General features: G+C 37.8%; 1 long non-coding RNA gene across 2 annotated transcripts in view; it reads left to right on the top strand.

Moving 5' to 3' along the window:
• The window catches only part of LINC00428 (long intergenic non-protein coding RNA 428), a 30,333-nt gene that overhangs the window by 13,360 nt on the left and 3,058 nt on the right, over positions 1-13,915 (top strand). The window contains exon 3 of one of the 2 annotated variants that reach the window (NR_126388.1): positions 8,693-9,138. The exons of the other annotated variant lie outside the window; for it this stretch is intronic. This is a non-coding gene — a long non-coding RNA (long intergenic non-protein coding RNA 428). Of the gene's footprint in view, positions 1-8,692; positions 9,139-13,915 lie in introns of those variants that run through there. 2 annotated transcript variants of the gene reach the window in all.

Genomic DNA, 13,915 nt, shown 5'->3' with positions numbered 1-13,915 from the left:
CTTTTCCTGTCTTGCACACAGCTGCCTTTTTGTTAGATGCTCACATAGTGAGGAGAGAGAGAGAGAACGAGCTCTTTGGTGTCTTCTTTTTTTTTTCTTTATTATTATTATACTTTAAGTTTTAGGGTACATGTGCACAATGTGCAGGTTAGTTACATATGTATACATGTGCCATGCTGGTGTGCTGCACCCATTAACTCATCATTTAGCATTAGGTATATCTCCAAATGCTATCCCTCCCCCCTCCCCCCACCCCACAACAGTCCCTAGAGTGTGATGTTCCCCTTCCTGTGTCCATGTGTTCTCATTGTTCAATTCCCATCTGTGAGTGAGAACATGCAGTGTTTGGTTTTTTGTCCTTGCGATAGTTTACTGAGAATGATGATTTCCAATTTCATCCATGTCCCTACAAAGGACATGAACTCATTATTTTTTATGGCTGCATAGTATTCCATGGTGTATATGTGCCACATTTTCTTAATCCAGTCTATCGTTGTTGGACATTTGGGTTGGTTCCAAGTCTTTGCTATTGTGAATAGTGCCACAATAAACATACGTGTGCATGTGTCTTTATAGCAGCATAATTTATAGTCCTTTGGGAATATACCCAGTAATGGGATGGCTGGGTCAAATGGTATTTCTAGTCCTAGATCCCTGAGGAATCGCCACACTGACTTCCACAATGGTTGAACTAGTTTACAGTCCCACCAACAGTGTAAAAGTGTTCCTATTTCTCCACATCCTCTCCAGTACCTGTTGTTTCCTGACTTTTTAATGATTGCCATTCTAACTGGTGTGAGATGGTATCTCATTGTGGTTTTGATTTGCATTTCTCTGATGGCCAGTGATGATGAACATTTTTTCATGTGTCTTTTGGCTGCATAAATGTCTTCTTTTGAGAAGTGTCTGTTCATATCCTTTGCCCACTTTTTGATGGGGTTGTTTATTTTTTTTCGTAAATTTGTTTGAGTTCATTGTAGATTCTGGATATTAGCCCTTTGTCAGATGAGTAGGTTGTGAAAATTTTCTCTCATTTTGTAGGTTGCCTGTTCCCTCTGATGGTAGTTTCTATTGCTGTGCAGAAGCTCTTTAGTTTAATTAGATCCCATTTGTCAATTTTGGCTTCTGTTGCCATTGCTTTTGGTGTTTTAGACATGAAGTCCTTGCCCATGCCTATGTCCTGAATGGTAATGCCTAGGTTTTCTTCTAGGGTTTTTATGGTTTTAGGTCTAACGTTTAAGTCTTTAATCCATCTTGAATTAGTTTTTGTATAAGGTGTAAGGAAGGGATCCAGTTTCAGCTTTGTACATATGGCTAGCCAGTTTTCCCAGCACCATTTATTAAATAGGGAATCCTTTCCCCATTGCTTGTTTTTCTCAGGTTTGTCAAAGATCAGATAGTTGTAGATATGCGGCATTATTTCTGAGGGCTCTGTTCTGTTCCATTGATCTATGTCTCTGTTTTGGTACCAGTACCATGCCGTTTTGGTTACTGTAGCCTTGTAGTATAGTTTGAAGTCAGGTAGCATGATGCCTCCAGCTTTGTTCTTTTGGCTTAGGGTTGACTTGGCGATGCGGTCTCTTTTTTGGTTCCATATGAACTTTAAAGTAGTTTTTCCAATTCTGTGAAGAAAGTCATTGGTAGCTTGATGGGGATGGCATTGAATCGATAAATTACCTTGGGCAGTATGGCCATTTTCACGATATTGATTCTTCCTACCCATGAGCATGGAATGTTCTTCCATTTGTTTGTATCCTCTTTTATTCCATTGAGCAGTGGTTTATAGTTCTCCTTGAAGAGGTCCTTCACATCCCTTGTAAGTTGGATTCCTAGGTATTTTATTCTCTTTGAAGCAATTGTGAATGGCAGTTCACTCATGATTTGGCTCTCTGTTTGTCTGTTATTGGTGTATAAGAATGCTTGTGATTTTTGTACATTGATTTTGTATCCTGAGACTTTGCTGAAGTTGCTTATCAGCTTAAGGAGATTTTGGGCTGATACAATGGGGTTTTCTAGATATGCAATCATGTCGTCTGCAAACAGGGACAATTTGACTTCCTCTTTTCCTAATCGAATACCCTTTATTTCCTTCTCCCGCCAATTGCCCTGGCCAGAACTTCCAACACTATGTTGAATAGGAGTGGTGAGAGAGGGCATCCGTGTCTTGTGCCAGTTTTCAAAGGGAATGCTTCCAGTTTTTGCCCATTCAGTATGATATTGGCTGTGGGTTTGTCATAGATAGCTCTTATTATTTTGAGATACGTCCCATCAATACCTAATTTATTGAGAGTTTTTAGCATGAAGGGTTGTTGAATTTTGTCAAAGGCCTTTTCTGCATCTATTGAGATAATCATGTGGTTTTTGTCTTTGGTTCTGTTTATATGCTGGATTACATTTATTGATTTGTGTATATTGAACCAGCCTTGCATCCCAGGGATGAAGCCCACTTGATCATGGTGGATAAGCTTTTTGATGTGCTGCTGGATTCGTTTTGCCAGTATTTTATTGAGGATTTTTGCATCAATGTTCATCAAGGATATTGGTCTAAAATTCTCTTTTTTGGTTGTGTCTCTGCCCGGCTTTGGTACCAGGATGATGCTGGCCTCATAAAATGAGTTAGAGAGGATTCCCTCTTTTTCTATTGTTTGGAATAGTTTCAGAAGGAATGGTACCAGTTCCTCCTTGTACCTCTGGTAGGATTCAGCTGTAAATCCGTCTTCTTTGGTGCCTTTTCTAATAAGGGCACTAATTCCAGCATGAGAGCCCCAGCTTCATGACCTCATCAAACCCTGGTTACCTCCCAAAGGCCCCACCTCCAAATACCATCACCTGGAAGAACAGGGCTTCAGCATATGCATTTCATGTATACGATTCAGTCCATAGCATCTGGCTTTGTAATTTTTCCAGGTCAGAACTTTCCATAAATCAGAAATCATATTTAGCAGCCATGAATGAGACTATTTTATTTTATTCTGAGACAGGGTCTTGCTTTGTCACCCAGGATAGAGTGCAGTGGTACGATCATGACTCACTGTAACCTCCAACTCCTGAACCCAAGAGATCCTCCTGCTTCAGGCCCTTTAGTAGCTACGACTGCAGGCTCATGCCACCAGGCCTGGCTAATTTTTAAAAATTTTCTTAGAGATGAGGTCTTTTTATATTCCGCAGGCTGGTCTTGAACTCCTTGCCTCAAGTGATCCTCCCATCTTGGCCTCCCAAAGTGCTGAGATTACAGGCATGAGCCACCACGCCTGGCCTCGAATGAGACTATTTTAAACACATATACCTCTGCTAAATTCCAACATTATTATAAATGAATTCTATGTAACCATTAGCTTGTTAAGTTCTTTAAGCTTTGATTTTCCCATCTACAAGTTGGGAGGAGGGTTGTTTTGCTGTAAAACTCATGCATATACAGCATTTCTACCTGTGAATGGTGTATATTTCTATGTGCTAATGTATATATGAATAGTGAGATGTGTGTGGGGGTGTGTGTGTGCACACGTGCACATGGGGGCAGGCAGCAACCTTTCTGACACTTTTACATGTATAGCGCTTTTTAGTTTACCTCTTTGTAAAGTACATGTGATGATCATGACAGTTGAGATGTTATTTTTATTCTCATTTTACGTGTGGAGGCCAGGAGGTCAAGTTTCTTTCTCAAGGTCATGCAATTGGTGTGTGGTTGAGCCGAGGTGTGACCTAAACCTCCTGTGACTCCTGGGTTAGTGCTTTTCCTTTGTCCCATGGCTGCCTCATGCTGGTGAGCATTGTGCCTGATACTTGGGCTCTGAGAAGGAGATTCATTCTCTGTAGTATACTCAGCTGACATCTCATTTTGTTTCCTTGCTATCCATGCTAACACACCGCAGCGGTGAGTGTTGCAGTGCATTTTTGAAGTATCGATTTCCAGTCAGCCCCCGTCCCAAAGACCCTACCACACACCCAATTCTATTTGCTTCACTTCAGCTCGCCACATGCTGCTGCCTGAGAGCTTCTAGTTTGTTATCACTCTGCTTATGGGCAGACCGGCAGAAATTTACTGCAGTTACCAGGCTTCCGTGCTAGGAAACCAGCGCTGTTTCTGTTTCAGAAATGTGGACAGATTTTGCAATTTTTTAAAGATTAAAAACAATCTTCTTTATGTATGTAGAAATACAGATATTTTGACTGTTTCATATAAATCCATATATTGGGATACATCATCCTACCTTTTAAAAATGAAATCTTTTTTTAAATTTACCCTTACTTAATCTTTCCCTATTCATATCAGCCTCCACCCCCAGCTAGTCTATATTTACAGTGTAGCATGGGCTCTTCCAAATAATTCTCAGTGCTCATAAAATCATATGTAAACATTTATATATGTGTATGTCTATACATCTACCTAAAAATAAATGTATGTGCGTATTTTACAAAACCAGGTCATTGTTTACAAAAATGGATTCATACTACTATTGTGTATACTTTACTTCGTATTATTCAATATTTTCAGGCAAATCCCAGACTTTATGTTGTCTATATCCAGTAAACACTTCAGTATTCATCACTAACGGATAGAGATTTTTAAGAATGTAACCGATTATACTAATATCACCTATAACAAAATTTATAATAGTTCTTTAAAATCATCCAATACCCAGTTCATGTTCAAATCTCCCTGATTGCCTCAAAAACATCTTTTTACAGTTGGTTTGTTTGAATGAGGATTCAAATGCCAAACATTGCATTTGCCTGATATGTCTCTAAAATTTACAATGATTTTCCCTTCCCCTTCCCTGTTAATGCTTCTATTTGTTGAAGAAACCAGGTTATTTTCCTTGTAGAATTTCCCACCTTCTAGATTTGTCTTATTTCATTCTCGTGGTGTCACTTAACACCTACCCTGTGCTTCCTTTACATACTTAGTTGAATATAGAGGATTGACGAGATTTCTGGCTCGATTCATTTGGCTAGAATACTTAATAGTTGGTGCTGTGTACTTTCTATTGCATCACAGAGGTATGGAATAGGAGGAATACAACATTGGCCAGCCCACTTTAAGTGATGCTGAAATTGGCCATTGGGGTCAGGTGTGGTCAGCTTTATCTTTCCAATATAAACTTTCTCATCAAGCCTGACTTAACAGTTTTAGCATTCAGTAATGAACATTACCTATATTCATTATTTCAGTCAGAGTTGTAAAATAATAATTTTCTAAATCTATTAATCTTTCTGCCTTGATTGGCTGGAATTCTATGAAGAACTCTCTCTTATCAATCATTGGTAATCTGGAATAACAGTTTGTATAGGAGAGGCAGAATAAAGGTTGTTTTTTTTTTTTTTTGGTTGTCAATTTTCTGAATAATGAAATGATGCTTTAGCAACCTCCAATGGTGATCAATAACATTGTTGGACTCAGATATTTGTATATATTAAATGTGTTGTAGATTATGGAATTTTATGACATTTGATGCTCAGATGGTCTCACTCTTGGCCAGTGGGCACTCCGCAGAATTGCTCCTTTGGTCTTCTTTTGACAAGATCCCAGTAGTTTGTGATGATGACTTCTTTGATTTCTGGTAAATAGAATATCCTCGACTTACCCAGAAGGCTTTTTACACTAGATGTAGATTGAGTCATTTCTCCAAAGTGGACTGGTTCCCTAGTGAGAAAGGGCATTTAGAGAACATAATCTTGATTCTAGAAGTTAATTTATTATCTTTTTAATGCTTCTATGGCATTCCATGACATACCATGAAATATTTAACCATTTTCTCTTGCTGGCATTCACTTAACCTCTGGTTTTGCTATATCCTGTCTTTCAATTGCAAAGTCATGTTGAAGATGGGAAAACACAGTTCAAGAAGCTTTCTATAGGCCTTACACAATTAGTAGAAATGTAAAACTGAAAAATAATATGAGAATACTTGGAATTCTTAATAGAAATTCTGGCAACCCAGTGGTTCTTGGGAAATATGTCCTTATTCAGCTGGGTAGAGAATTCTCCTTTGCTTCCTGGAGCTTATCTTTAACAAGGTGAGAGATGATGCCCTCTCCTTCTTCCTCTTTCGGTTGGAGAACGGTTTTCCTTTCTTCTCTTATGGATTTTGGTAGAAACATATTTCTGTTTACTTTTTCTAACTGTGATCCTGGCAATGAGATGCATGGTAGCTCTCCAGGTCATACAGCAGCTTGGACCTTTCATAAGCTCCATACAACTTTGGATGGAGGTGCAGCTACGTGCCATATTGGCAGTACATTTTGTTCTTGCAGAGGGCATTCTGGCCTTCTTGATTCTATATTTTATTTCTTTGCCAATCATCAGGCAGTGTGCAATGGAGAAAACAAAATTTATTGGGGGCTTTCAGCTCTGTAACTAGCAATAACTATTCCTGGCTGGCCACAAAGTTTGCCAGATGCACCCTGCTATATAATCCTGATTTTCTAGTTCATTGTAAATTCACAACACTGTACTGTCAACTATCCCTCTTTTCATATCTACATAAAAAAGAAATTTCTTGGTAACATTCTTAAAGCATTTGATAATGCCTATAGACTTTACAAAAAAAAACTTTTATTGGAGTATAATATACATCACAGAAAACTACACATAAATATATAGCTTGATGAATTTCCATAAACCAAACACATTTATATAACCAGAACTTGGATCATAAATAGTCCATTATAAGTACACCTGAAGCCTTTTTATGCTACTTTCAGTAAGTCTCTGCCCTTCTTCCTCTAAGAACAATCATTATCCTGATCCTTAAAAGCATAGATTTATTTTGCCTGTCTTTGTACTAACATAAGTGAAATTATACACTACATACTTTCTTGCATCTGGCTTATTTCTCTCAATATTTGTACTGTTCAACCATATAAACACATGTAATTGTAGATTGTTCATTCCAATTGTTATATAGTGTTCCATTGTGTGTCTCCATTGCAATTTATCTATTCTATGTGGATGAGCATTTGGGCAGTTTCCAGTTTGGAGCTATTATAGATAATGCTGCTATCAACATTCTACTACATACCCTTGCTGAACATACATCTGCATTTCTGTTGGGTGTACGCCTAGAAGGGGGATTTATGGTCACAGTGTATGCAATATACCCTGCTTTATTAGATAATGCCGAAGAGTTCCAAAGTGGTTGTACCAAACCAAACTCCCACCATCAGTGTGTGAAAGCTCTTGATGGCACACACGCTCCCCCAACACTTGATAGTTTCCCTCATTTTCATATATATGAAACTTTCAGGTTGAAGAAGATTCCCAGAGTGTAGAAGACTTTCTAATACCATCCTCCAATTTCTGTCCAAAGTGTAGCAATATATATAGGGCAAATTAGACTAGGACTCTGACAATATCCTAATTTATTTCATTGGTGATAGGGAATGGGTCAAATGAACACATACAGGTTTGCACACCATCAAGAAGCCTATGGGTTTAGTCATTTTAGGGCAGTCAACTGTTTCCTGCTGATGTTTATTATTGTGTATATTTTATGACAAAAATAAAGTAAGAGAGAAATATCATTCACAATTCCATTACTGTAACATACTAATAGTTTTTAGTTCCCTTATCCACACACATATCTGAATTTTATATGGTTACAATCATGGTCTAGATATAATTTCATATTATGCTTTTTTGAGCTAAATGTTTTCTCTAAAGCACTTTCTCATGTTTTAAAAATATTTCCTCTATATATATTTAGGTTGCTTCCAATGTTTTACTATTCTAGAGAGGTCTACAGAAAATATCTTCACCAGTTTACCTTTACTTTTTTTTTTAAATTAATCCTTTAGGCAAAAGTCCTAAGAGTGGGATTATGGAGTAGAAAATTATCATTTTGTCTGGCTCCTGATTTATCGTGCATCTCTCTCTCCAAAAGGCTTTTCATAATTTATACCAGAGGAATCCACCTTCTTGGAAAGCAGAAGAGCTAAGTTTGACTTACAGCAGCAAGTGCTCTGTTAGCTTCATAAACAAATAAAACATATGACATATTGTTGAAGTAAAGTTTTAGCTTTTGGAAGATTTAAAAATTCTTGCCTAGCTTCCTTTGTAATACAAATTTAGAAAAAACGCAATTTTCCGCAAGCAGGTGAGTGGGATAAACAAATGTGGTATAGTCATGCAATAGAATACTACTTGATTGATACATGTGTTACAACATAAATGAATTATGAAATAATTATGCTTAGGGAAAGAAGCCAAAGAAAAAAGAGTACATACTCTATGATTCCGTTACAGAAAACTCTATGTAATGCAAACTTAACATAGTGACAGAAAGTAGATCAACATTGCCTGTGGACATGGGGTGGGTAGAGAGGAGCAGGAAAAAAGGATTGCAGAGGGGCGCATGGAAACTTTTGAGGCCAATGGATATGTTTACTACCTTGATTGTGGTGATGGTTTCATGGGGATATATGTATGCTAAAGTTTATCAAATTGTACACTGTAAGTATGTACAGTTTATTACATATCAATTATACCCCAATGAAGCTGTTTTTTAAAATAAAATTTCTTGCTCAATATTTCTAACTCTTTGAAGATCTAAAGAAAATGAGGAGCAGGAGTTGCTGGTAGTTCATTATGACTATTTAGTGTAGTGAGTTAAAGGGACACAATTAAACCTACTATACTATATAATAATAATGAACAACAATTTCTGTCCTTCATTTTGTATGCCCAAAAAAGATACGTTCAAGTCCTGACACTGGTACCTGTGAATGTGATCTTATCTGGAAAGAGAGACTTTTTGGCCTATGAGATGTGGGGGCCCCAAATCCAATGACTGAAGTCAATGGAAGAAGATGAGAGGATGCACAGAGAGACACACAAAGAGAAGAGCACCATGTGTAGATGGAGGCACAGGTTGGAGCGATGCAGCTACAAGCCAAGGAACACCAAGGAACTAGAAAGAGGCATTAAGAATCCTTCCTTAGAGCCTTCAGAGGGTAGCTGGCCCTGCTGACACCTTAATTTTGGACTTCTAGCCTCTAGAATTATGAGTGAATACATTTCTGTTATTTTAAGCCACAGAAGTGGTAATTTGTTATAGCAATGCTTGGGAACAAATACATATACCAATATGGTTCTATTAGCTAGTATACTCTAATTTTATAGTCGGTAATATCAAGGGAGTAACACAAGGTATCTGCACTACAGAAGCAGATGTCTGATTACTAGGTTCTGTGATGAAACTTTGTATTTCAAAAAATGGATCCCCTTCATTCTCTCCTTGTTTCTATGTCTGCTGTCCTGAAGCCAGATGTGTTACCATGATGTCTTTATACTAATATACTAACACAGCAGTTCTCAAAGCACTGTTCATGGACACTTTGAGCTCCCTGAGACTCTTCCAGGGGGAGGCCAAATCTATTCTCATACTTTCCCTTTTCACTGTGTTGACATTTGCAGTGATAGTGCAGAAGCAACGATAGGCAAAACTGCTGACACCTTAGGACAAATGGCAGTACCAGCAATTGCACTAGTAGACATCTTATTCTTCGTCTTCATGACTGGCAGAAAACAAACAAACATAAAAAGAATTTGACTTAAGAATGACCTTGATGAAGCAGCAACATGATTTATTAAATCTTTATCCTTCAGTACAAGTCTTTTTAATATTGTGTGTGATGTTATGGGGAGTACAAATAAAGCACTTCTGTGACATACAGAAGTACAAAAAAATAGTACTTGTGTAATTGAGTTCTAGCTAAACTAGCAGCTTTTCCCATGAACACCAGTTTTACTTGACAAACAGACTTGGGCTATTCAGGTTATTCAGACTTGGGTATTTGGCAAACATGTCCCTCCATGCTCAGAGATTCTCCTTCAGAGGCAACCATCTTAGACTCTGTTTTCTTTACTGAGAATGACATTTCTTGTAAAAGCTTAAACACAGGTAAGGCCAAGGTATTTTGCCTAAGGACAGAAAGCATAATGTTGTAGAGGTGGGTTCCCTTCCAGCCCATTACACTTCCCATTCCACTAAACGAGACAGGTGGTTTTCCACATTTCATGCATCTCCTCCTTGAGACAGTGAATCAATGCTGCAAGAGAAAGAAATGCCAGGTGGAAAAGCTGACAAGTCAGATATTACACAGCCACTTAATTTTTATTTTGTAGTTTTCACAATTTGAGCAACCAAGTAGAATACATTAAAAAGATACTAAAAATGCGCTGTGATAAAATTCATTTGACCAGGAAATATAGGCTTTCATGTTTTTGTCTCCAGCTCAGCCTTTTCTCATTTTTAATGGCAACTGTTTTCTGGATTTGGCACTTATTTTGACAAAAGCTATGTTGAGTTGCAAATTGAAACATGGTGCATAGCTTCTATGATTAAGAAATCCAGAATCTATCCAACCTAAGGCCTTAAAGGCAGAAAGAAATGCTCAGAGAAAAATTTCTCAACTTTGCCATGTACCGATAAATGCCTGATATAAATATTAACTGTTATTTCTGCAAACGTTCCCACTGTTTTATATACTTCATTTCCCCCATTTGTGAGACGGCAATGTATTCTGGAAATTTGATGGATAGAAACTCGTGATTGAGTCTTCTCAGCATGGGATAGGTCAGTATTTGTGACTCAGCTGGCTGGTGCCAGAGTGGAGAACTCGTCTGATTTGTTTCCACCCCAGGCACTGAAGGATTTTCAAGATTTTCCTCTTAATATTTGGTTTTACTTGATAATCCTAGAGCATGCTGGGAAATCTCAGCAAGAGAAAAAATTTAGTAACCACAGGGAGGCCTGCTCAGAGGGCTGTGGGTAAGTATGAAAGCTTATGTGTATGCCTACTAATAACTCTTGAATATTTTGCTTTTCACAAGGTTTTCCTTCAACAAAAAGTATGTAGGCTTGTAAGGACAGTGGGCCTTTAGAAAACTCAGCCATTCCCAGAAAGACAAATGCACATTTGAGTCATTTCCCAAGAGAGATGTCACTAGTCAGGAAGGTATGTGGAACCACACGGTTCAGCTTGCAATTTAGAATTTCAAAAGCAGGAGTTGGCCAAAAGTTGCCTAGGGTTTTTAACCTCACGTTTTTACCATAAATTTTCTTTCTTATTTGTTGAGTGCTGACCTCACCCTTGTCATAGGTGGGATAGAAGAGATGCTAGCTGCCTCTGATCAACATTGGAGAAAATGCCCAATTAAGAAATAGGCTTCATAGCCAAGGTGACTAAATCCCAAAGGCTTGTTTGTTTTCTTTGTGCAACCCAACTTCTTATGGGCTTGCTTTTGGATTCTGTTGTTTCCTTTGTTTTTGTTTGGTTGGTTGTTTATATGTTGTTACTAAGACTCTGTCTTGGAGATGTTGGACAATAGGCTAGTGTCTCATTGGATCTAGGTGTTCCAGATGTGAGCTAGGTCCTAGAAGGAGGTGGTAAGAAGGCTTTGCACTATGCCCTGGGGAGGGCTGTTTTGCTGGCGGGTGACCAGGTTCTGAGGGAGTCTGTACCTAGTAGATTTTCTCAACATTCAGCAGGTGTGTGAGACACCTGACATGGCTGATCTTGGTACAGAAGGAATCCAGCTGGAAGTGATCTGTGTGTAGCATGTCTCATAGAAATACAAGGAGCCTTGTCTTGTGACCCTGTACCTGTAAGGCCTCAAAGGACCTCACTCATAACAGCTAGGATGACTCTATGAACCCCTATATGCTGGAAATAGCCCCAGCTTAATTTAGTTTAATTCAGTTCACACTTATTAGGTTCCTACTAAGAAAAATAATTTGCTTGAACATAATTATTTTTTGTGATTTAGTTTATCCTCATTTTAATTGGAAGAAACTGGGGATTAGAGAGGGTAAGTGGCTTATCCAAGTTCATACGACTGGTTCTTCCTGCCACATGGCTTCATTTTGATAAGAAATATGACTTTCTCTTCTGTGATAAAAATAAGATCTTGTGCCCTGGTGAGTTGGACAGTCTGGGAGTTCTGCCTGTTCTGATTTTTTTTCCTGGTGGGATATTGGATGAAACATTCTAATACTCAATTCTAAATTCATGGTAACTTTGGGAAATGTATGTGCTTGTGTACATGTGTGCGCATGTGTGTGTATGTGAAATAGAATGTATGATAGTTGTCCCAGGGTAGATTTCCTGAAACAAACTCATGTCTATTGGGGCACTCATCATACCTTCCCTTTACTCTGTGTCTAATGCTGGTCTCCCTTAGGCTCATCAATTAGGAAAGCCTATAGCTGTTGCCACATAACTGTCTGGAACTCTCAATGTTGATATATCATTTTTATCTGTTTATAGACAAATGAAAATTTAGCCACTTTTTTTATTACTTAAATTGAAGACAGCTCAAGCCTGTCTCAACAATGTGAGAATGTCTTCTTTTTATAATCTCAAGTCCTTATGATGCTTATGCAAACCTTTTTAAAGAATAAATATAAAAGGAATATTGCCCCTGATTATGTAAAGCTGATGTGGCAGACATGGTAGATTGTCTTGTTTGACATCTGTACTATCTCATTCTCGTCTGCTCTTCCATATAGCGTTTGTCAGGAATCCTTGTTTTGAAGGATCTTGATATGTTTTGGATACAAATTTTAGTGGCAGCAGTGCTGAAGGCACCATTCACTCTTTTGAGTCTAGCAGAAGCAAAGCCACATTAAAGCCCATAGTTCTTAGCAGCTTTCCAATTCCCAGATTGCAGAGAGTGCAGATAAGTTACTGTATTCCTGAAGTGGTTTCCTGATTCCCTCATATATCAGTCAAGAATCTCCAAAGAAACAGAAAAAATAGAAGATATATATGTTAAAGAATTGGCTTGAGTGATTTTGGGGACTGGCAAGTCCAAAATTTGTAGGACAGGCCAGCTGGCTGGAAACTGAGATAGGAAGTGATATAGTCTTGGGTGTGAAACCTGTAGGACAGGCTGGCAGGCTGGAAGCTCAGGAAGGATTTACATTAAAATGTTGAGGCAAAAAGTAAAATAAATAAAATGGTGAGGTGGAATTCTCCATTCTCTAGAAAATCCCAATTTTTGCTCTTAACACCTTCAACTGATTAGATAATGTGTGCCCACATTATCTTTAAAAGTAATGTTCTTTAAAGTCAACTGATTGTAGATATTAATCCCATCTACAAAATACCTTTATAGCAATATCTAGATTAGTGTTTGACCAAACAACTGGGCACCATAGCTGAGCCAAACTGACACATAAAATTAACCGTCACATCTAGTTTCCTGACTGTGGCAGAGATAACGATGAACTTGATGGGCCACTTAAGCAGGATTCTTCTAGAAATCTGTCCTGGAGTTTCATCCTAGAATCTGCTATGACAACCAGCTCATCTAAGAAATTTGTAAGCATCTAACCCTCTTTCTGCTTAAAATAGCTAGAATGATTTGTTATTTGCTACTGAATCTCATTTATATTTTAGCAAAGTCTTGATATCAAAACATGACGGGGAACATGAGAAAGAAACTCTGCAGACTAATTATGCTCATAAGCATAGATGCAAAAGTAGTAACTAAAATATTAGCAATGTGAATTCAGGAATCCATGAAAAAGATAATGTATGACCAAGTTGGGCACATACCAGAAAAGCAAAGTTCAGCATTAGAAAAACAGCTTATTTAAACACCATATTAACAGATGAAAGTTTTTCTCAATAAATACGTAAAAAGCATTTGATAAAATGCTATCAGAAAACTAAAAGTAGAAAGAAACTTCCTTAATCTGATAAAGCATACCTAAAATAACAAAACATGAAACAACAGGAAACTCAAAGGCAAAATGTTATATTTCTTTTAAAAACAGCAGCAAGACAAAGACACCCACTATTATTACTTAGATGAAATGTATTGGTAAAATTTTCAGAAAGCAAACTCACAAGATAAAGAAATGATAGTTATAAAGATTGGAGAAGCAGGAACAAAAATTTTGTTACT

Source organism: Homo sapiens, chromosome 13 (assembly GCF_000001405.40).
Source record: "Homo sapiens chromosome 13, GRCh38.p14 Primary Assembly".
Classification (NCBI taxonomy): Eukaryota; Metazoa; Chordata; class Mammalia; order Primates; family Hominidae; genus Homo; species Homo sapiens.
This window is presented reverse-complemented; position numbering and strand designations above follow the sequence as displayed.